Source organism: Homo sapiens, chromosome 9 (genome assembly GCF_000001405.40).
Source record: "Homo sapiens chromosome 9, GRCh38.p14 Primary Assembly".
Classification (NCBI taxonomy): domain Eukaryota; kingdom Metazoa; phylum Chordata; class Mammalia; order Primates; family Hominidae; genus Homo; species Homo sapiens.
This window is the reverse complement of record NC_000009.12, coordinates 127342914-127367564: the sequence shown is the minus strand read 5'-3', so window position 1 is coordinate 127367564 and position 24651 is coordinate 127342914. Positions and strand designations below refer to the sequence as shown.

General features: G+C 45.1%; 1 protein-coding gene across 17 annotated transcripts in view, besides 1 other annotated feature; it reads right to left on the bottom strand.

Annotated features, from left to right (window-relative positions):
- The window catches only part of GARNL3 (GTPase activating Rap/RanGAP domain like 3), a 169048-nt gene that overhangs the window by 26096 nt on the left and 118301 nt on the right, over positions 1-24651 (bottom strand). For 14 of the 17 annotated variants that reach the window (NR_104591.2, XM_047423963.1, XM_011519086.4 and 11 more), the window contains 8 exons: positions 23226-23330; positions 22088-22162; positions 18530-18641; positions 13621-13719; positions 13155-13271; positions 12093-12268; positions 10188-10346; positions 2199-2265 (listed from right to left, as the gene is read on the bottom strand). Coding sequence is in view for 16 of the 17 variants with exons in the window: in XM_047423963.1 (XP_047279919.1) it covers positions 2199-2265; positions 10188-10346; positions 12093-12268; positions 13155-13271; positions 13621-13719; positions 18530-18641; positions 22088-22162; positions 23226-23330 (910 nt within the window). In the remaining variant the exon portion in view is untranslated. Of the gene's footprint in view, positions 1-167; positions 2071-2198; positions 2977-10187; positions 10347-12092; positions 12269-13154; positions 13272-13620; positions 13720-18529; positions 18642-22087; positions 22163-23225; positions 23331-24651 lie in introns of those variants that run through there. The other 3 variants (XM_047423967.1, XM_047423968.1, XM_047423966.1) reach the window with 2 other exon arrangements.
- Positions 19201-19495: a silencer, noted in NCBI's record as "tiled region #1510; HepG2 Repressive non-DNase unmatched - State 13:Ctcf, and K562 Repressive non-DNase unmatched - State 22:ReprW". NCBI's record gives its function as "represses a minimal TATA promoter and a strong SV40 promoter by Sharpr-MPRA in HepG2 and K562 cells {active_cell/tissue: HepG2 | K562}" and the evidence as "EXISTENCE:reporter gene assay evidence [ECO:0000049][PMID:27701403]".

Here is a 24651-nt window from a genome sequence, read left to right as displayed (position 1 = left end):
AAACCCAATATTAGTAGCATATTGAACAATTTATACTATTTTTTCCCCTAAAGGTTACCAAGTGAATATATATTTTTTTCAAATAACACATAACTGAAAGTTGCAATCTCCATTATAAAATATTTTCAACTCTAACATATCTGAGATAAAAATTCCTCCACATAAAGTTTATTTTTAATTTTGCTTTATTTTTAATACAGAAAAAAACTTCAATGATACAAATCAGTTTCAGATTTTGGGGAAAGCATTATCATTCTGCAGCACCTTGTTGAAAAGGGGCTTTATTGTACAGGCGTCTGTGATCAAGTCAAGAACATAGACTAAACAGGCAAATTCCACGTGTGCTGTGTGTGCAGGAATGAGTTAGAGAAGTGACCTGGATGACCGTGGGGAGAGAACTGTTTTATTGGTGTTGTTCACCAGATGCCTCCCAATGTCTTGGGAAAAAGAAATATGGAAAACAAAAGCCAGATTCCTGACCCAAAGAAATGGGAGGAAGTGGCATGGTTTGGGGAAGACTGAAGCTATGGGAACCTCTGAGGTTGCCAGGGCCTTGACCTTGGGATGTAAAGATACAGAGATGTAAAGATACTTCTGATGTAGTGGATCTATGAAAACAGACACACACCGATCCCATCCTGAGATGAAGTCAGAGCCTGAAGCCGGAAGATGAGCAAAGCCATGAGAAATGGAACTCCCAAGGAAGGGTTCCGTGAGACCCAGAGGCTGCGGGAACCACAGCTGAGGCAGGAGCCGCTGAGTGAGGAGCCCGGCCTGTTCCAGTCAGCACTGGCAAGTCTGGCACAGAGCCCATGGCATCCACATTTGTTTCCATGCCCTCTTTTTCTTTGGGATTAATTCTCCCACTCTAAAAACCTGCTCTATCTTTCTGTTCTTAACTTCTCTTCCACCTAAAATCCCTTCCATCCTTTCACACGGTTAAAGGATAAAAAAAATCCAAATCAGTTTTTAAAACACTCTGCCACAAGTTATTCTATAGATGTCTCAGAAAAAAGAGCATACTTTATTTTAGAAAGGTGAATTTCTTACAGAAGTGACTTCTACCATGCAGCCATAAACCTGGGGATGCAGGGCAGCAGGAGTGGCAGTGGCCTGGCCCATGGGGTGTGGGAGAGTGGCCCATTCCTGCTGCCTTGATGGGGCCCTTCTCATCACATGGGCCATTAAAGACCTGCTGTTCTGAGGAGGGTGCACAGTTCTGTGCATAAAATGTCCCCAAAGAGCAATTTATTGTTGAAGAGGTTTAACCACCTTCTCCTAATTTATTCCCCATAAATCTCGAATTTTGAAAGATGATGTTTATAAAACAACCTTCTCTTCTAATAATTAGCTTTCTTATACTTATTAATCAAAGATTAATTAATCAAAACATCTGACCCAGCATTACCACTCTAAATTGATAAAATCCTAGGCCGAAAAACATGTTTTATGTCTTGTTAGACTGGGCAGCTTTATCTAGGAAAATAGCTTACTTCTTTTCTTTTACCCTTAAAACATCATTTTTATGAAAATGTATTATAATATTAGCTTTTGAAATGCTGAAAATCCTTAAAGATCCCATTTGATACCTTTGGTCTGCCCAACACCTACCCTGCCACCTAATCCAAACTAGGCCAACTGAGGCTGGATACCCTGGGTTGAGGCTGATTTCATTAATACCTGAGAAACAGCAAAATGTAGAATAGCGACAGTGGTTAAAATTGTGGGTGCTGGAGTCAAGAGAGCACCCGATGCAAACCCTGGCCCTGCTGCTTAGTAGCCACAAGACCTTGACGAGTTCACCTCTCTAGGCCTCAGTTGCCTCATCTCTAAACTGGGGATAATAACCGAGCCTGCTGCGGGCATTCATTGTGAGAATCAAGTGAGACAATGACCACAGCATACCGAGCACGGCACCTGGCACACAGTAAGGGCCTCCTAACTGGAAGCCATTGTCATCACTGGCGCATCCTGGAGATAGCATCACAAGTGCCAGTTCTTGCACTGTGTCACCAAGAGGCCTGGTGCGCAGCGGGAGACTCAGGGAGGAAGGTATTTTTCAGTTCCTTCCTGGAAGGCAATTACAAACCCAGGAATGATACACTGGGTAAATCTAAGGACAATCTTTTTAAATTGCCCAGAAAAAAAAAAAGCAGTCCATTTAAGCAAATAAAGATAAAAGCACATCCTTAACTTACAGTTGTAACACAACAGCAAACCAGCTTCTCCATCTTCGTACACATCAATAGCTGCAACAAAATTAACCTGCAATGATAACGGGCAACGGTAGTGGGCAGGCTGGATGCTGACCCTGTGAAAAGACTTTTACAAGTTGTGAGCATTTGTGGAGGCCGAGGCCCTCTGTCATGCAGGTGCCATAGGGTCATGTCTGCCCCACCAGCACCCACAATGCACATTGGGGGCTGGGATTATAATACAATGGAAGTGAGAAAGAAAAGAAAAGAAAAAAAAGAAAGAAAAGTCTCTCCATTCTTTCTTCTCTGGGACTTTCTCATCATCTTTTCATAGCCGTTGAGAAGCTCTGTGTTTGGTATGTCTCCTCTCTCTATTGAAATGCCTCAGGTTTATATGCCATTATTTCCAATGGCAAAAACTGCAATTACTTTTGCATCAACCTAATATTATTGACATTATGGTATAATTATCATTTTACAGAAGATGAAAGTGAGGCTCAGGGTGAAGTCACTTAAGTCCCTTGACTGGTACACGCCACAGCCAACATCTGAACTAATGTTCTGGTTCTCTTTCAACCTTACCGCTCTCGTACCTCCAGCGAGGCATCCTTCTGCCTCCAACAGATAAAGTCTGTGCACCTTAAAATCGCCACGGCATGTCTTCACACTTTATTCTTTCTCTGTTCTTCATGTCAAGAGAGGCAGCATGGTGCAATGAAAAGGGTGTCAGAACACCTAGTTCCGTGGTCTGGGGCAAACTCCTCTCTCTGGGCCTCAGTTTCTGCATTTGAGAGGAGGGCACTCAACCTGATGGTGTCCTTGGTCCTTCTTGATTTTCAAAACTCCAGCCCTCTAAGAGCCTCCTGCTCCTTTCACTTCCTCACTTGTATTCTCAACCCTTAGAGCCTGGCCTCCTGTGCTTCCAGGAAAACCACCCTTTGAGCTCAGCCAAGATCTCCTTCTCCCCAACCGAAGGCCTTGGCCTCTGCTCATCTATCCATCCTGCCCTCTGCAGCCTCTGATGGGTGACATCTTCTGCCTCCTGCCCTCTCTCCCACCTCAGATTATTCTTCAATTTCTTGGCTCTTCTCTCCTTAGTAAAACCCCACTTCTATAGCTCCAAATTTTGCTTTGTGCCCAAAACCCTAAATTCACGGGCTCAGGCACACATTCTCCCCAGGGCTGCAGCCCCTAGACTATGTCGTTTGTTCTCAGATGTAACTGATTCCACATCCAAGTCATTAAAAGCAGGAGGTAGTGGATTGGGGGTGGGGTGGTTGGAGGGGCACAGACTGGGCAGACAGATGGGAGATCAAGCCCTGTCTAGGCCACTTACTGCCTCTGTGGTGTGTGGCAAATGGCTTAGCCTCTGGCCTTAGGTCTTCGTCTGTAAAGCAGGCATCATGAGAACACTGACCCTGCTGGATTGTAATGGGAATTCAGTGAGACAAGGCAGAGATTTTAGCACAGGGCCTCATGCATGATGAGCACTCAGTGAAGGCTATTGGCTTTTTATCTCCCACACAACCAGCTTTCCTTCTAAAACTCCTCCTTTTTGTTAGCATAACTATTCTCAAAGTCTCAGGGCCACCTCCAACCCAAGTCCAGCAGCAGCCTCTTCATACAGTTTCTCAGGTGTTTTTTTGTGCCCCTGCTGCTGTTCTAGGCTAAGCCCTGACCTCCTCACAGGAGCACCATGTTGTGGGCTCCTGCTGGCTCCTCTGTCCCAGCCCTTCCGTCCACACTGTGCTCCTCCCACTGGCCCTGCACTGGCTGACCCTTCTCTTCACTGGTGTCACCAGAACACAGCCTTCACCTCTAAAAGGTCTCATTATGGTGCCAAGGCCCCAACTGGCCATCCTCAGCCAGTGCCACTGCCTGGGCTTGGGTGCCCCTTCCAATGGAATCCCCAGCTCTCTCCCATCTGTCATTATCTAGCACTGTATTCAGTGCCACTAGGATACAGAAAAGAATAAGGTGAGGTTGACCCCTTAAGAAAAAAAACCAGAAAAGCACATAAGTACATAAAACAAGGTATAATGGGGCAAATGCCTCAACCAAAAGTTGCAGGAGCTCAGCAGGGAGTGACAGTGAGGACCAGTGGCCAAGAGCTCCAGCACTGGCATTGGACAGACCCGGGGGTTGTCAAATCCAAAATAATCCCCATGGCTCCTATCATGCCCTGTGTTTTAGGCTCTCTGCAGAGTGTCCCTCACCCTCTGGTGCTCTCTTGTCTGTTTGTTCCCTGTGGCTCCCCTCCCCATGAGATCTAAGGCTCATGACGCAAAGGCCTGTCTGTGCTGCTCACTGCTGGCCCCTCATCATCCAGATCAGGGCCTGGCGGGTGGCAGGGATAGAATAAACTCATCGGATGGGCAAGTGAGTAAATGAAATCCCAGCTCCATCACTTCAGAGGCATGCGCACTCACGCCAGTTGTTTCCCCTCTCGGACCTTCAGTTTCTTCGTTTGTAAGATGGTAGAAAATAAGAGTATCTAGGCCTACTGGCTTGAGGACTCCAGGAGGTAACTTATCTAAGCACCTAGCACAGGGCCTGGAGCTCGGTAAATGCTCAATGTTGGCTGATACCTTTATTTAGATAAGGAACCAGCACCAATGGGTATATTACATGAAGGATGGTCCTGGAGTCTCCTCTGACCCCAGAAAGGAGCCTTCCTGGCCCCACCACTTTGACTTAAAATCCCTTCCTCCTCAGATGTCCCTGTACATGTTAGTTTTACTTCACTATCTCAGCTAGAGGCTTTGTGCTGCACCGTGTCTGCTCTGCCAGACTGGGAGCTTCTCCACGGGAGGGGCCGAGTGCTACCAGCTTTGTGGCTGGACCTGCTATCCCCACCAGCTGTGGGAACATGGTCTCTGGAGTCAGCCAGCTGGGGTCCAAGTCCTGCCTCTGCCACTTACTAGCTGTGTGCTCTGGGGTAAGTAAGTGACTTCTTCTTTCTGACTTCAGTATCCTTTTCAATAAAAATGGAGAAATGTGCCAGGCATGGTGGCTCATGCCTGTAATCCCAGCACTTTGGGAGGCCGAGGTGGGCCTGAAGTCAGGAGTTCAGGACAAGCCTGGCTAGCATGGCAAAACCCTGTCTCTACTAAAAATACAAAAAAAAAAAAAAATTAGTCGGGTGTGGTGGTGGGCACCTAATCCCAGTTACTTGGGAGGCTGAGGCAGGAGAATCGCTTGAACCTGGGAGGTGGAGGTTGCAGTGAGCCAAGATCGTGCCTTGCACTCCAGCCTGGGGTACAAGAGCGAAACTCTGTCTCAAAAAAAAAAAAAAAAAAAAGGAGAAATGAAGAGCCCCTTCCAAGACATAACGCTTATGACATGCTCTGACCCAGGGCCTGGTACACAGAGGTGGCCATTCAGTGATGGCCACAATTATTATAATTATGGGAGGGTTGACTGCAGTGGGAAAGGTGGAACTAGACAGGCTTTTAGTTTAGAGATAAGGCCTGTGTGTGTGTTTGGGGTGGGGTGAGGGAGGGTGGCAGTGGTGACACGTATGGAGGAAGTTCAGGCAGCCTTTTAGACCAAGATCTATGCACAATGACCACAGACACCAGGGGGGTACTTGGCATCAAGTAAGTCTACCAAGGGGCTCCAACGCTGTGCTGACAGGCAGACAGACGTGGCAATATTCAGAGAGTTGGGCTGCAGGACAGGTGGTGGCAGGCTTCAGCCCCAGGGCCAGGATTCAGAAACAGGCTTGGACTTAACCCTTAACCACTTCCTCCTCAGGCATGCCACAGCACTTTATTATTCAGACCTTTATTAACACTTAGCACAATGAGATCTATTTTATGCTTTGATATAGGTGTCTGTCTCCACCTTGGGACAGGGGCCTGGTGGGGTTCTTGCTCCTGGAGACCCTGATATGGCAGGTCTGTTGTAGGACATAGGCATTAAATCTTTATTTCATAAGTTTGATTAACAATAAGTAGTTCTGGCTGGGCATGGTGGCTCACGCCTGTAATTCTAGTGCTTTGGTAGGCCAACGAGGGAGAATTGAACTATGATTGCACCACTGCACTCCAGCCTGGGACAGAGCTAGACCCTGTCTCTCTCTCTCTCTCTCTCTCTTAAAAAAAATAAAAAGTAATAAGTAGTTCATTCTATTGGTACTTTAAAATGATAACAAATAATGTATGGTGGTTGTAAAAATTCAAAACACAGACTTGTAACAAGTGAAGTAGGAACTGTACCTCTCCTAGCTGGCTCTGCCTTCAGCCTTCCCTGTGATTCTGGGCTCAGCCCCCAGCTGAGAACCACTGGATTCTGGGCAGACGTCAAGATGAGGACCTGAGCCCCTCCCATAAACCAGGGACCCAGATCCCATGGCTATGCCTGCAGTTCCCCCTAGAGGAGCACTTGGTTTTGGGAATGAGGTCAGTGCTGGTGGTTAAAGCAGCGGCAGTGGGTCACAGCAGGCCCACTGGTACAGTGAACTTGTCAGTGACTTTCAGAATGTTGCTTTAGTGCTTCTTAAACATTTCCTCTCTTGAGCTAGGATTGTTACAGAACCCGGGGTGGGTACAAGCCTGAAATAGGTATCAAGTGGTCCTGGCTAAGAGAGGAGGAATGGGAGCAGGAAGCGAGGCCTGCCCAGTTAACACTGGTGCCCACAGAGGCGGGCAGGCAGCGAATGTAGACGGAATGGAAATGAAATTCCAATGACCTACGCTGTGTCAGCTTCTCTCTCCTGTCCCCACTGCCCTGGGTGCTGAGCTGCAGGAACATCTTGGTAAAAAGCTAGTCCTGTTCCCACAAGGCCTATTTCTAACCAGCTATTAGAAAACATACAGCTCATTATCTTTTTCATTTTCTTAGGGCTCATCTCCCCAGACAGACAGTACCCTCCTTGAAAGATGAGTGAGTGCATCTGACTAAGCACTGCTGGGAGCTGTGCACTGCACCGTGCCTGCTGGGAGCTGTGCAGCCGCCATTCTACCACGGGAGGGCTGTACACGCTGATCCTCTCAGAGCCAGGAAATAGGGAAGGGTTTTTTTTTCCTTAAAAACTTTTTTTTCTTGGCCGGGTGCGGTGGCTCACACCTGTAATCCTAGCACTTTGGGAGGCCAAGGTGGGCGGGATCACGAGGTCAGGAGATTGAGACCATCCTGGCCAACATGGTGAAACCCTGTCTCTACTAAAAATACAAAAATTAGCTGGGCATGGTGGCTGTGCCTGTAATCCCAGCTACTCGTCAGGAGGCTGAGGCAGGAGAATCGCATGAACCAGGGAGTCAGAGGTTGCAGTGAGCCGAGATTGCGCCACTGCACTCCAGCCTGGGCGACAGAGCGAGACTCAGTCTCAACAACAACAACAAAAATACATTTTTTTTTCTCTTAGGAAAAAACTTTGTATATTTGTCTTTTAAGAAGCACATAGAAGAGAGGACAGAAAACTTGAGAGTTGTTCCTGACAGCCATCCAAAAAACAAAGCACAGAAGTCATCAAAGAAAATGGTTTTTAACCCAATTTATCCAGGGTCTTTACAAATCATAGGAAAAAGAAATCCTATAATGAATTATAGGACATTAAATATAGGTAAATAATAAAAACCACCATATAAAAGAAATTTAATAAAATGATATTCTCTATAGCTACCCTGATGAGTAAGTAAACTGCATAATTTTCAGCCACTTAAGCATGATTTATTTTAAAATAGAACTTGTCAGAAAGTTTCTCTGAAATGAGGTGAGGACTTTTCCACTAGCAAAAGCTGGCTAAGTCTTAGGAAACTAGCTGCCAGGAAAAGGACTGATTGAACAAGGACCTGCTGCACCATGGCATTTCTGCTTTGTTTGGCTGCTTACACAGTTTTGAGAAGGAAGAAGGGGGTGAGAACTTTTTTTTTTTTTGGAGACGGAGTCTCACTCTGTCGCCAGGCTGGAGTGCAGTGGCACGATCTTGGCTCACTGCAACCTCCGCCTCCTGGCTTCAAGCGATTCTCTTTCCTCAGCTTCCTGAGTAGCTGGGATTACAGGCGTGTGCCACCAGACCCGGCTAATTTTTGTATATTTAGTACAGATGGGGTTTCGCCATGTTGGCCAGGCTGGTCTCGAACTCCTGACCTCAGGTGATCCGCCGGCCTTGGCCGCCCAAAGTGCTGGGATTACAGGTGTGAGCCACTGTGCCCGGCCAAGAGGGTGAGAACTTTTAAAGTACAAATCAGGGCTCCAGCTCCTCAGAAGTCAGTGGCAGGAAGACATGCTGGTCCAGGGATGCCCAGGCAGTGGGGGGCGGCGGGTGGGGGGAGTGGGCGGCATTCCTCCCAGCTTTAAATTAGGAAGTTTCAGGACCCACTCCTTCTCCTAGGTCTATATTAGTATCACCTGGGGGCAGACTTAAACAAATATTGGTTCTCAAGTACCACACCCCCCCAGATTCTGATATAATTGGCTTGGCCTGGGGTCAGACACTGACCTTTTTAAAGCTCTCCAAGGGATGACAGCCAGGGTTGCAAAGCAATGAAATATACCAGGGATTCCCAACTTGGCTAAATATTACAATTATCTGGGGACCATTTAAACATACCCAAACCCATGCCACACCCCAGACCCAGGAAATCCCTGGAGGAGGAACACAGGCAGTGGTATATTTTCAAACTCCTCAGATGACTCCAATTGCAGACAAGTCTGGCCACCACCAATATAGATAAGAGAAATGACAGACCACTCTATGATCAATAATAGCTGAAGACAAGAAGGTCTCCTAATCACAACTACAGTTTTCTATTTCTTATTTTTCTGTTTCTTAAAATCTTGCTCTAATTAGGTCTTAAGTCTTCCTAAAATAGTAATTAGCAATTTTAATATTTATACAGAGCATATTTACAATTAATACAAGTTGTAAAGCATAATTGGAAGAATTCTGCAGTCTGTTTGATTTAGCTGAACAGGACTGGAGGTAGCCTGTGGGTCTGGAAGCCCTCACTAGGAGTTAGTCTCCCTGGGGCTGACATCCCCATTCTGTGGTTTCCTCAGTACCTAGGCCAGAATACTGGCTTGCACTGCATGCTGCAAACCTCAATGGCTCACTGACAAGCAGGCCTTGTCCTGCCTCACAGAGATACATACGTGGGCTGAAAAGCTCTGTGATCTGCTAATGTCAGTGTCAGTGCTGAACGCTCTCCAGTGACAGACAGGCTGCCAGGCCTCAGGGTGGTGAGTGCTCACCACTGTCCAGTGGGCGCCAAGGTTCAAACCCCACACAGTCACCTTTAGAACATGAGAGCAGTTTTGGGTGGCCCTAGATTTTGTGCCACACTAGGACATCCTTGTTCTCTGTGCATCAGGCCAGGGGTGTAGACTCTCAGGGCAAATCTGCCTGCTCACTCCCTCCTAATGGGTTTCCACCCCTTCTTCCTTTCCTAGTGGGTTTTTAAGGGGGTAGGGAGGGTGCAGTACCCACCCCAAACACCCAGTCCCCAAGATGAGAGTCTGCAGTGCCTCAGAGGTCAAGCTTATTCTCCAAGGACCCTCCCAGGACAAATCATCTAACAAATGCTCTCATTTATTTAGTTATTATAGTCAGCCTTTTGACTCTTCATGTCTTTTTTTTTTTTTAATTTTAAATACAGACAGGGTCTTGCCATGTTGCCCAGACCAGTCTCGAACTCCTGGGCTCAGGCAATCCTCCTGCCTCGGCCTCCCAAAGTGCTGGGATTACAGGCGTGAGCCATTGTGCCCGGCCTTTTCATATCTCTTTTATTCGGAAGGATGGAATGGCAAGGAAAGATCTGAAAACTAAACAGGGCAAATGGGACAGTCACATGATAATAGATAGAACCATTCTGACCTATAAAAATGGTAACTTCACATGGCTCAGTCTAAATAGTGAATCACATAATACTGATGTGATGAATAGTACATAATTTTAAAGAAATCCAAATCATGGCATGTCAGGGTTAGAATACACAACGATGATTACTCTTTTCTGATTCTCACTTGTCCCCACAACCGCTGGCTTACCCTGTTGGCCTCCACGTGGTGCAGCCTGAAGGCTTCTCCTGTGCTCTCATTCACCACATCAAATTGGTGTCGATAAGCCACACAGATGAGATTGTCACTCTCTTCAGCTGGCCCATCCACTAAGGTCATCACCATGGGAGAGTCAGACAGACAGATCTCCTGTGTGGTTGGTGAGGATACAAGAGACAGGGGTGAGAACAGAGCAGCCAGCTCCATGCCAAGCCCCACTGCCCATTCCCTCCTTACAGAGAAGGCACCCTCTCCAGGCTCCTGCAGAGCCCCGTGCTACAGGGAAGAAGGGACAAGAGAGGAGTGCCAGGGGTCACATCCGACATCTCCTTCCCATAACCTGTCCTCAAGACTCAGGCCTCTGTCTACTGGAAAGGGTCGAGGCCAGGAAACAATTAAACAAAATGCAATCAACAGTATGGTCTGCTTTATCCCTTATGTCGTCTGGTCCTGTCCTGGGATTCAGTAATAGTATTAATAATTGCTAACTAATCTATTTGTGTACTTAACATGTGCTAGGCACTGTTCTCATTGAATCCTACTTATAAGGTAGGTACAGCTACTATTCTGTCTTACAGATGAGGAAACTGAGGCTTAAAAGTCATCACAAAGTTTACACAGGGTAGAGCTAAGATATAAACTCAGGAGATTTAATTTCAGTGCTCATATTACATAAATGTATATGCTGCATGTAAATCTTCATTAAAATAGCAAATCACTATAGGAAGAAAGCTAACACTTAAGTAGAGCAAGATTTTAACGTGTTTTAACTTAACTGTCATGTTGCTCTGTCCCCTGAAGTTGAACATTAGCAGAAATTGATAGGCATAATTCAAAAGGCTTTAACTCTAAGCAAAAAATACCTTCTCAGCTCTCCAGTAGAAATACTCCATCTTAGTGGCCAATGCTAGATATATTCCATACCTTAATGTACCCTAGTCTTTAAAAGATAAGAGATGGTGATGTCAGGGAGGGAACTTGAGCCTGGAGGTTTCTCTCACAAGCTCCCCCTTCAATCTCCCAGCAAATCCCGCTGACTGAGGCAAGCAGGAAAGCATTGCCCACGGCTTCTTCCCATCTCTCCTGCTACCAAAGCCACCAACCTTTCTTGCCAGGATGCTGCACTGGTCTCGTGGCAGGCCTTCTTATTTCCACCCTTGGCCTCCTAAGCTCCCCTCTACCCAGAAGCCAGGACAATCTTTTCAAAACCTGCCACTTCTCTGCTTCAAACCTTCCAGTGGTTTCCCATCTCACTCAGAGTCAAGGCCGAAGTCTTTGCAATGGCCTGAGGGCTCAAGAGTATATTTCCCAGTTCTCTCTGACCTGCCTGCCTTGTTCCCTCTGCTCTTGACTGTGCCTTCAACAGGACCTCAGGGCCCTTGCCTGGCTGCTCCCTCTGCCTGGAATATCCTTTCCCTAGATACCCTCATCACTCACTCCCATACTTCTTTTGGATCTCTGCTCACAGGTAACCTATTCAGAGAGGGCTTCCTGGGACATTCTTTCTAAACAGAATCTCCCAACTCCCTGCTCCATTATCCTTTGTTCCCTGGCCCTCCTCTATGTTTAATTTTAGTATTTCTTTATGCCAGCCATCATAGCTTTATTTGCTTATTTCTGTTAACTGTCAACTGGAAAGTAATCCCCATCAGAAGACTTTGTTTTGGTCATCGCTGTGTCCTTCGTACCTAGAACAGCACCCGTAGATGTTCACTGGAATGAATGAGCTTTAGCTTTAGTCTTCTGGGGGAAACAAGGGCACCAGAGATGAGGGTTTCCCTAGTTGGCTACTAAACAGTGGGACAACCTCAGTGGGTAACAAACTCTGGGTGGAAGGACAGAGTCTGCTTCAAGACAACTTGGTTGGGAGATAAATGATTTAAAGAGCAAACCTACCCTGATGTACTGGAATTCTTCAACAGGTGACTCAGACAGGGGAGATAACAATGAGGTGCTGGTGACCCCGCTTGGCTTGTTGTGTTTTCTTGTGATCAGAAGCAGTTTATTCCGAATTGCAACCACAATCCTCAGCTCTCTGCTGTGGTGAGTGTTAATAGCATACAGGTGGCAGCCTGGGAGGAGAAAGAAATGATGCCTTACACATGACATGCGGGTGTGGAAGCCCCCAGACCTTGACAATTTGGCAATACCTAGGAACCCTGGAAATTAAGCATAACTCAGTGAATGGACTGAGAATGTTTCCGACACTAGGCAAAATGGAGACTACATATTAAAATTAGGTTGAGTTACAGGAAAATTAAGAAAGTCCTATTCCCAGCTGGGTGCGGTGGTTCACGCCTATAATCCCAGCACTTAGAGAGGCCGAGGCGGGCGAATAACCTGAGGTCGGGAATTCGAGACCAGCCTGGCCAACTTGGGGGAACCCCATCTCTACTAAAAATACAAAAGTTAGCTGGGAATGCTGGCGGGCACCTGTAATCCCAGCTACTTAGGAGGCTGAGGCAGGAGAATCGCTTGAACCCAGGAGGCGGAGGTTGTAGTGAGCCGAGATTGTGCCACTGCACTCCAGCCTGGGCAACAAGAGTGAGACTCTGCCGAAAGGAAAGGAAAGGAAAAAGGAAGGGAAAGGAAAGAAAGTCCTACTTCCTATATTCTAGAGTTTGTGGACTTAACTTCATACCTACGACATGACATCAATTAAAGTAATTAGAGCTCTGGGAACCAGTCTAAACATTTCTTCAGTAATAGATTTGCTAATAGAGTTTAATGCATCTCTAGAACCTGTTATGCAAGGCCTAGAATTTCTTCTAGTCCTCAATGTGTTTGTCTAGCTTTCAAGCTCCTTCTGGAAACAGTGATGCTATTTTTGTGATGTTTCCAAACAAAAAACAAACTAATAAGATCAAATTCCTACTCATTTTTATTTTCAGTAAAACCTGGGCAGCCTGAGGAAAAAAAAAAACGAATCGAATGGAATCTACCAATCTATCAAGTCACCTTTTGTTTTCTCCAACTTGTTTTCTCTGCAGTCAGACCTGCTCTTCCCAGCCTGCTTCCCCTCAAGGCCCTTTTGCAGAGCACTTAGCCTGAAGACAAAGAGGCGAGCATCTTTTCCTGGTGACATAAAAAAGACAGAGGAGGAGATTAAATGGAAAAGTAAGGTAACCTGGAGGGCCTCCAGGGGCAGACTGTGTAGAAAAACTAGGATTGGAGGTGTTCTGGAATTCAGGAGGCACCCCACACCACTTTAACCTGACAATGCAATTACGTATGCACCCCTTTCCCCCAACGGCTTCCCTCCCCAGAGAACAAAGGGGCCACTGAGGGATCCCAAGCACTGAGCATCAGGAAAGGAAACAGCTGGCAGAACTTATGCAGTCAGACCCTGGCGACCTGTGGTGTGGGCCGCAGAAGGCAACTGTTTTCCTTCCTCCACAGCATGCCACCCGGCAGGGAATACCACCTTTGTCTGCTCTGAGAACCAGAAGGTCCAGGGTCTCAAGCACATGCATTTGCTTCACTGGCAGAGTTCTGTCAAACACGGGCACTGATGGAAGGTCATCTGGAAAAGGAAACCTGGTTACCCATCACTGCAACCCAGCCCACGCTTTCCAGAACCCACCAAACGTGCCTGTGGGTAGTTTTGAACCCAAGTTATCTCTAGGCAAGGAAGGAAGTCAGCTTCTAGGGCTTTCATAAGCTCTACAAAATACATTCAAGCACTATTCTCCTCCTAGCTCAGGAAGAAGTACTGATGCTTTCTTCCCATAGGCAATTCTATATCCCGAACTCTATATAGGGGGCGTAGCAGCAGAGGCATGAAAACGCTATTTTTGTTCATCAAAGAAAAAGCAACATCTCTCAATACCAATTTTTACTAGGGTTGTACCAAAGGCCTGAACACCAAGTTAAAAAAAAAAAAAAAAGAGCAGCCATTTTTCTCAAGTATTTTCTCATTTTTATGTAATATTTGAAATTGCATTATATCTTAGGTCATATTGTACATACCTCAAGAAAGCAAAATTAAAATTTCCTTTTGGACTTAAGATAAATATAAACACACTCTACCCTAATATGTCCCGTGTTTGTAGCAGTAGTAGTTTGCCTATACATTTTCAGTATTTTTTCCCAAAGGAATAGGAAATCTCCTTTTTAGACAAAAACATAAATAAAGAGAAATATTAACTAAATTGCCAAAACAGCAGGAAAAACGAACTGAAGTGGGAATGCTCAGGGAAATCTCCAATAAATGGATGGTTCAAGACATTGCACTTCCACACAGGATTTGTTGTTGAGGTTACTTACTGAGAATCTAAGTTGCTAACAATTACTTTGCTCCTGAGGGCTCCGAGGACACAGGGGGCTAAAATAATTACTAAGGCTGTTCCATTCAGTTCTGTAAGCAAAAGGGTCTGTTCTGAGATGGATGGCAGAATCAGGGCAAGGCAGAGGTGTCCGGGATGGTGGAGACATTTGGGGCAGGAGAAGTGGCTGGCTCATTCTTTACCTGCATTTATTCTGCAAATGCTCTGCTGTGGGGTTGGGTTTAATTAAAATTTAGGAGCAAGGGGCCCTGAGGATCTTTTCTTTTCCAGAAATCTAAGTGTGGTTGGGAGTTCATCCCGTCCTGGATGGTCCAGGAGGGAGCAGAGCTTTCACCATCAGGATTAATAACTGCCCCCACAGTGGGGAGAGGAGCTCCCACTCCTGCAGGCCTCTGAGGGCTCAGATTTGTCAGAACACAGACTAAGCTAAGCTTAGTATTACACCTAGGGCTTGTCTCTTGTTCCTCTCAATTACTGGGGCAAATGTAAATTTTATGATAGCTCATCAACCACTTTTCTTCCTCCTCTACCCTGGGCTCCCACAAAATGGAACTAATTCTCAGGGTCTTTGTACTTCCGCTGGGGCAGACTTAATTTTTCAAAACACTGGACGATCATCCTCATACCCATCATCATAGTTGGCTAAATAACTACAATTATTCCATTTGTGGGAGAAGAGCAGTCACAGCAAGGACAGGTAACATATACTAAGGGCTTTCCATATGCCAGACCCTAATGCTTAGGGTTTCATATGTTTAAATTAAATGTCCCAATGACCTTATTAGGTAGGAACTTATAATACTCCCATTGAACAAAGGAGGAGCCTGAGGCCTGGTGTTAATACTTGTCTGAGGTCACACCTCCAGGATGTGGAGCCCAAGCCTGTGCAAGGACAAAGCCATGCTCTCTTCACCAGTGTTGGAACATAAAATGGGATGTTGGAGCAGCCCCATATCCCAGTGGATAGAGATGCGACCACAGCAGCAACAGCACTCCAGGGAATTAATAAATGACAGAGGCCCTTCATTTTACATAGGAACAGAGGTATACATTGTACAGCTGCCGAGCTGTGTACAGAGTGAATTAGCACTTAATCTCCATCCAGTCTTTCTCAGATGGCTGAACAGGTTTGTATACAACACAAGAAGGAGGAGGAGGCAAGGACCTGACAGAGTGACAGGTGGATTTAATGACTGATTGATGACAATGCTTTCCTTCCTGTAATCTCTTTATGAAGAACAATCTTTTAGAACCAGCTTTTCTGTTACTGCAAAACCAAAACACAGGGCGAGAGCATATTTAATCAGTATTCAGTTTCCTTTCAAAGTAGGTTTTGCTAACTTAGGATACAAAAGGTCTTGATTTTTAATAATGACCTTGAAAGGAGTAGACTCTCAAGGGATACATCTAATGAAATTAAGCAAAGGCTAATGGGATAGAGTGGAACTCAGTCTGAAACAAAATGGATGGATTCACTCATGGAAACATTTCATAATATGATTAAATGTAGACAAGAGAAAGGTAAACAAAGAAATAAGAGAATTGTGGCTTAAAAGCACAACAAGAAATATAAAGAAGGCCCTGAAGATTCTTCTTCTTTTTTTTTTAAGCAAAAACAAACAGAAGCATCATTGTACAATAAGGACATGAAAAAACTAGTTTAAATCATAAACCAAAGCAATGGTGGGTGTAAACAGCTACACCCACCATCCTGTTGAAGGCGACTTCCTTCAAATTTGGAAGAAAGAATTTCCTGGCAAATCACAATACTCCTTACATCTGACATTTCCATTAAATTTTGGATCCTTAAGATAAAAATTTCAGAAAGGAACCTGGTAATTTTGGTTTGGATTTTGCATTTAAAAAAATAGAGGCAACTCAAATAGAATCTTTTGGTTTTAGGCAAGCTTACGAATAGTCATTATGAAGCATGCTTTCTCTTTCCCAAAAGGGCAAAAGGGAAGGAGTGAACATTCTTTAAATCACAAAATTTTTCATAATTATTTGCCCAGGGCTATATTTTTGGAAATCTGTGTTAGAGACATTGGTAGAGTTTAATATAATGTAGTTGGTTTAGTGGAAAGAGCCCTGGACTAACAATCACATCTGGGTACTAGTCCCAGACGTGCCACTAACCAGTTTTGTGATCTTGGGTAACTCATATCATTTATTTAGGCCTCAGCTTGTTCATCAATAAAACTAACAGACTGCACTAAACTTCTAAAGTCTGTTGTTTGCATTCTTGTTTGTTGTTGTTGTTGTTTCACTTTTGGCAAGATCTAAGGATTTTATTACTTTTTTTTTTTTGAGATGGAGTCTTGCTCCGTTGCCCAGGCTGGAGTGCAGTGCTGCGATCTTGGCTCACTGCAACCTCCGCCTCCTGGGTTCAAGTGATTCTCCTGCTTCAGCCTCCTGAGCAGCTGGGACTACAGGCATCCGCCACCACATCCGGCTAATTTTTGTATTTTTTTAGTTAGAGACAGGGTTTCACCATATTAGCCAAGCTGGTCTCGAACACCTGATCTTGTGATCCGCTCACCTCAGCCTCCCAAAGTCCTGGGATTACAGGCGTGAGCCACTGCGCCCGGAAGGATTTTATTACCTCTTAGCAAGTTCATAGAGACATAGTAAAGATAATAGCTGCCATTTAATAAGTTACTACTATGTGCCAACCACTATGTAAACACTTAATACAGATAACTTTATTTAGCCCCTACAATCCCCTCCTTCTAGTTGTGATCATCATCCCATTTTGTTTCACCGATTTTCATCATTATAAACTATTCTCAGCATCTTAAAAAATTATCTCCAATTTAGAGAAACTCGAGGCTCATAGAGGTTTTCTTTCAGATCACAGTTTCCAATCATTTTGTAATTTCAAAAATTACATACTGAATTTAAATTATAAATTTATGAATTTTAAATTATCTGCCTTAAGTTCGTTATAGATACAATGACTATGGGCACACAATTGAAACACATATCAAAAATAACAGATGAGGTCAGAAATAGATCCATTATGAAGCACGGCCCACATCTCCTATCATGCTTCAGAAGGCACCTGGCGTGGGGCCCCGGCACACAGCAGGTGTTCGGTAAATGTGCCCAGTAAGCGTCGGAGGGAGGACGTATAGGTTGTACTGAAGGATGGGAAGATGCCACAGTTTTAGGCCATTATGTCATTCTCACAGTGGTGGCTTTGGGATTCTCACAAAATGTCACTACGGTAACCAGAGACTGGGCAGCTGTTTCTGGGCAGTCCGAGGAAATGCCCTTTGGAGACATTGTCTCTGTGCCTATGGCTCCCTCTGAAGCCCAGGAGACAACCTGTTACTAGTGTTTAGCTCCTCTGTCATTCATTCAGGGTCTGGAATAATCTAAAGGGGACTCCTGATGGAAGGGACCACACTGTCCTTGAGTCTACACCTGCTCTGAAGTTGCACCCTCTCTGGGCGACGGTGGCTGATCTGTGGCGACAGAGAACTGACTAACTCCCCAGGAAGGCTGATCTATCTGGCTGTCAGAATGTGTGATTTTATATTGAGCTGGAATCTGTCTCCTTGTCAAAATCTTTTTGTTTCTATATCCATCAAAAATGGGTTATCTAAGATTCTTATTGTTTGTTTTGGACATCAGTACTTTTTGAATCAGAAATCTTTTTTTTTTTTTTAAGACTTCGAGAGAGGGAATGTCCCAGAGACAGTGGTTCTAAATAATGTATCCTTGTTGATTTAAAGTAAAATGTTGGAGTGATAATAAGTATTGGCTGAAAAGGAGATTCTTTTTGCAGGTCATTTGATATCCACAGTCCCATCATATATTTTGGGAAGAGAACCTATGGCCCACCCTCCAGCATGCTTGGTTCAGAGTATATTTCCTCTGCTTGCCCTGGAAACAAGGGTTTAATTTCATAAGGAAATAAAACTTCGCTAAACTCTCTGCAGATCACACATTTATGGCCCAAAGGGAGTTGGTTGGTGGTCACTCATCTTAGAAGTACTACAAGTTACATGAAAAAGACATTTGTAGGAGCAGCTACTCACTAACCATCCACTAGCAAGACGCCAGCATCAGTGGAAACCAGCAAGGCCTGGCCCCAGGGATCTGCACACACGGCTTCATGAGGGAAATTACTGCAGAAACACTGGGGCTCCCACGGCTGTGAGGCAATACAAGCATCGGAAGATAAGTGCACCAGAAAAAATACACTGCAGCCCACCAAATGGAAATGTACAGTACCACACCTGAAACAGTAACACAGATACCCCCGTGGGAGCGGAGTCACTCCAAACCCTGGGGTCTGGACTCAATTACCTTTCTTAGGAAGAAAAGTCTCCTTTCAAATACGTATGCAATAGGAAAAGAGTGAATTCACAGGTTTCTGGCACCATAACCTGTCTCTGTATTATAATGTTTTTCAGAGGCAATTGACGCATTCGTAATGGTTTCTAAGGAAGCATTTTGCTTTAACACCTGGGAGTTGGGCCAAATGGTGCCTCTGTTTTAGAGAATTCATATTAGTTCATCATTAAAGGAAGTCCCACATAATTCTATAAAAAAGTCAGATTCCTGTGTTGCTGATTCAGCAAATTAGTAAAACATACATGATGCACTAAAAGGTTGATATTGTTTTCACGTGAAAATGCCTATTGACCCACATAAGATACAAAATCTTAAAGAAAAAATAACATCTGTTTGGCAAGAGCTGTAAACAGAGCTAGTCAGGTTTCCGCATGACATATCTATACCAAGCAAACTCTTCTTAGTTCATTTCCATCTCAGGCATAAAGGGGGAGCCTTAGAGCCACACGTGGATGTGTGGAGTAGGAGGCATTGTGTTCCATGATCTTAGTCACACCAGAATTGTGGACATTTTCAACAGAATTCTTAGCTTCCCTCCAAAGCACTGGATAAGCCTCAGTTTGTGGAGATTCTCAGGCCCAAGTTGAAGTCTTACATCTTCACTTTTACTCTCAATCAGGCATCAGGGCCTGATGTGTCCCACCTGGGGCTGTAGTAGAGCCTGCATGTGCACATGTAGGTGTGTTCTTAAGTACCCAAGCAAACATGCATTTGCATACTCAAGGTAAAGCAAAGGGCTCTGAGGACCACCTTTGAAAACGGCATTAGGGCTGAGGGTAAATGCTGTGTGTTACTGCTCTCTTAGAAAAGGAAAGGATGCTCTCCCTTTAGGAAATGCACGGTCTCAAAAAGAATATTCCAATTGCTAAGATGGAACTTGTGATGTTCTAAAAAGATCCCCTAAAGAATGTGACAACATTTTGTAAATGGAAAAAAGGCTAAACAAGTGCAGGTCATTAATTGAAATGACGTTTCCCCAAGAAAATTTCTGGCAATTCTGAGTTTGTGACTTACACCAAAAGGACATAAAAAAAGCAAAGTTAATATAAATGTCAATAGGGAGAAGACACAGACATCAGCATTAGGTAACACCAACAGAACAACCAGTTCTTAGTAACAATATGTTTTCTGCCCAGAAGACACAAGTTTGGAACACTAAGGCAGAAAGAAGTTCTTCCCCCATAAGATTCAAGGGCCCTACAGGATCCACAGAGGTCTCAAGGAGGTCTGTGAAACCCCCAAAATTGTACTCAAATGCTGCATATATATGCCATTTTACCTTTTTTTAAATTTTATTTTGAGACGAGGTCTTGCTCTGTCACCCAGGCTGGAGTGCAGTGGTGTGAACATGGCTCACTGCAGCCTTGACCTCCTGGGCTCAAGTGATCCTCCTGCCTCAGCCTCCTGAGTAGTTGGGACCATAGGCATGAGCCACCATGCCCGGCTAATTTTTTTAATTTTTTTTGTGGAGACAGGGTCTCACCATGTTGCCCAGGGTGGTCTCCAATCCTGGGCTCAAGTAGTCCTCCGGCCTCAACCTCCCAAAGTGCTGGGATTATAGGCATGAACCACTGCACCCGGCCCCATTTTAATGGGCAGGTGCACGCAGGGTGTCCATTGCTTTACACGGGTGCCAGTGACCATGTGAGGTCTGAGGAACTGTTGAATATTGGGGCGTGCAGTGTCAGCAGCAAACTCAGATCTGGTCCCACAGTTGCTCTGGTCTGACGACAGACAGTGTTTGCCATTGCCCTGGACTCCCTTCCATGGGGGAGCCTTCATGTGGATTCCACCAGGTGAGAATGTGGTCTCCAGGCTTTCATGTCTAAGTGCAGACTGTTCCTGGGCACTCTCTAAGAACATGACCACAGCTCATGAAACGATGAGTGCTGAAGAGGTGGGCAAAGCCGGGTTCTCTGGGCACAGAACACTTGGGAACAGCAGGGGGCTCTGGCCTCTGCAGAGCCAACTGCACAGCAGCAGCCCATGGGGCCCTCTGGAGCTGAGTTTCTCTGAGGTGGTCTACGGCCTGCGGGTGGGTTATAAGTACTGACCTCAACAATGGACGCTCGCTCTGTTATTACCTGGTGAACAAGTTATGGTTCCACAGACTTCTGTTTTTAATATAAGCCTAAAAACTTCTTATCATTATTAAATCTTACTGGAATCTGGTATCTATAACGTACTTGGAAACAGTAAATTCCTACTGTGCATGGGAACAAGCAGACACTGGAACTGCTGCAGCCTTTGGGAAGGATGCTTTTCCAGTAGTCTTGTCTGAAGTTGGTTGTGGTTTTTAGGGTTAATTATATTTTGAGCTCATCATTTTCCTGAAACCAGACTTTAAAGCACGTAGGCTCACATCATCTATACCTTTATCAGTAAGGTAAATGTATTCATAATTATTTTGCTTTTATAATGGACACTTCTCTGGTGATGTGCTGTAAATCTGTCCCATTTAACTTTTATGTATTCTGAATGGAGATATAATTAAGTACATGGGGTACTGTTCTACAATACAAAATCATATTCATAATATAATTTGTGTATTTTTGTCTGTTTTATTTTTGATGATCACCTAGTTTTTACCCCCATGGAAAGTGGAACAGGATGTAGATAAATAGCCAAAGAATTTTTTGGCTGGCTGAGTGAACTGTAGATTAAGCATTGGTTTTTCAACTGTGGTCCTCTAACCAACAGCATCAAGATCACCTGGGAAGCCATTAGAGATGCAAACTTTCAGGTCCCACCCCAGACCTGTTCAATCAGAAACTCTGGGGGTGAATTCAATACACACTGAAGCTTGAGCAGCACTGCCCAGGAGCCTTGCTGTTTAAAGCATGTCTGTGGTCAGCAGCACAGGAACCACGTGCAAGTTTGTTGGAAACACAGACTCTCAGCCCCACTCCAGACCTACTGGATCAGAACACGCATTTGGTCAAGGTGTCCAAGTGATGTGTATGCACATAAAGCTTGAGAGGCCCTGTGGGGCCTGGCCTGCCTGACCAGGTCGGTCCTCCAGCAGCTCTGCTCCATTGAAGCAGGTGAAGGCATGTGCATACCATGGCAACACAGAGGCTCTCACTAAATGGCCACTCAGTTTTATCTAGGGCTTTCCCTGAGGACTCTGCAGTAGACATGCTCTTCTTCCTTCTGCTCTCAAACCTTTTTCCAATAATCTCAATCATTTTCATTAAGGAAAAGGGGAATTCAAAGTTCAAATTGAAAGTATCATGAACTCACCTCTTTTTTACAGATCCCTGAAGCTGCCAAGCTTGATGGAGCATCCCCTCTCACAATGGATTTCAGTTTTAGTGCCTTACAGAACAGAGATCTCTATTAAAGTTTACTAGGCGGCAAAAGTACAGCAGGATAAACAATTGTGATTTGACAAAAATTTAATAAAACAGGAGTAATTGCAGGCTAACATTTCGGGTTCCTCTACTGACTTGTTAATCAAGAATTGAAGTTAGCTGGACACAGTGAAGCCTTAATGACAATGTCGCAACCCAAATTATCCAAATGCATTTTATCATTTCAATGAATCAATATATCATTACTGTGATTTATAAACCATGAGCTTGAAAAAATGCAGATTCTCAGGTCCCTCCTCAAACTTGATGAATCAGAATCTCTGGGAATAAAGTCTGGGTATCTTTAAACAAGAACCAATGTTTGAGAACCTTGTAACTAAGCTTCCCTTGATTACATGGCTTTCCTCTCTCCACCTGCCTTGTCTAGCTTTCTACTTCTGGGCCAGAACCTTATTTGCAGCTGAGGGCACTCCTCCTTCTCCATGCTGTGATGTGTGATCAAGGCAGACAGCTGTGTCGCCTCCCGGAACTGAGAAATACCAGTGTCACATGCGAGCGGGGCAAAGGGAGTGATTTTCTCCAATGCCTGGAATAAGGGGATGACTGGGCACCACCTAACTTGGTGGTGACTTGGATTGTTTCCAAGTCATAGGGTGGTAATTCAAGTCTTCTGTGAGTGCCACTGCCACTCTGTGCTTCCTCCTGCCAGTCATGGGTTTAAGGGGCATTTCCCAAATCGGCTCCTCACTCTTCAGAAAATTCCTAGGAGGCAGGCAAGAGATCTGTGTTCTCTGGAAGAGGGGGGCCCAGAGCTGGGCCCTGTGGCTACTTGCCTTGAGGCAGTAGCATTCCTACCTCTGCAGAGTGTTGCTCTCTCAGTGATGCCTGCAGAGAACTGCACCTACTCGGTTCTCAAAAATCTCACTCGTGGTTGCCACAACAATCCTAACAGAAATTACAGAGCTCCTACAGCAGCAGGCAAACAAAGTCTTTGCACATGGGCCATCTGGTTAGGATGGAACTCAAAACTACATGTCTCGCAGAAAAGGTTTCAGAAGAAAACCCACCTGCCCTATTCTAACAAACTCCGCCTGGCGGGCCTCCTCTTTCTTCCGCGCTGACTTGGGTGACTCTGGTAAGACATCACTAAAAGATCGTCTATTAAGCATGTTCTAAAAAAGAAAAACAAGTTATGAATTCCACAAACAGTTGTTAAGTCTCATCTTTTGGCTTCTCATAGTGCACAAAACTATTTATCCAAATGGTCCTATTTCTACCTTCTGTTTCATTCACTCAATAAGCATTGATGGAGCACCTGCTGTGTACCAGGTCCATGGTAGATACTAGATTCAGAGTCACTAGGTGGAGAGCCAGCATTGCATGGGGGCTGAGGACACGGCTTTGAAATCAGCAGACCTGCAGCTGTATCACTTACTAACTTACTAACAGTGTGACCTGGGCCACCACATTGCACAGCTCTGGGATGCCAATCTTACACAGCAGCACCCCCTGGAACACAACAAACTGAATTCTATGAGAACAGTACCCCTAGAGCTGTGCAAATCTGCAGCCTTGTGGGTCGCCTTGAGCAAATTAGTTAATTTCCGAATCTCAGTGTCTTTGTGTGGTTAATACCTGTCTCCTAGGTGTGTTATGAGGTTTAAATGAGGCAATGCATGTAAGGTACTTCGCACAGTGCCTAGTGCATACTTAGTAATGTTAGTTCTCTTTAAAACTGTAGTCACTGAATGGGGTATGCTCATTCAATCAGCAAGTACCGACTGAGCACCTAGTCTTCTGCCAGATTTTGGGAATGTGATAGACATAGTCTCTATCCTTGTGGAGCACAGAGTCTACTGGGAAGACAGATTAAGCAACGACATGTTTAGCACATGTGATCACTGCTATGAAGGGGAAGTGTGGCAAGTACATGAAAACATTTAACAGGGGACCTGGCTTCAACTGGGGGGCTAGGGAAGCCTGGCTCAGGCAGTGATGCTTCAGCTGGGATATGATTACTTATCTTGAAGGACATCATTGCTCATCTTGGTACCCTCTCTGTGTCTTCCCTGACCTTACGGAATTGAGAGATTACCAATTGAGGTTTGCTCTTTAGGGTCCTGGGGTTAGCCTGGCCCAATCCCTGCGAGTGGTTGGGGTACACCGACCAGACAAGAGTCAAGGAGTGCCTATAAAATGGTGCTGGTCGGCCGGGCGCAGTGACTCATGACAGTAATCCCAGCACTTTGGGAGGCCAAGGCAGGTGGATCACCTGAAGTTGGGAGTTTGAGACCAGCCTGACTACCATGGAGAAACCCCGTCCCTACTAAAAATACAAAAAATTAGCCAGGTGCAGTGGTGTATGCCTATAACCCCAGCTACTTGGGAGGCTGAGGTAGGAGAATTGCTTGAACCCAGGAGGTGGAGGTTGCAGTGAGCCGAGATCATGCCATGGCACTCCAGCCTGGGCAACAAGAGAGAAGCTCTGTCTCC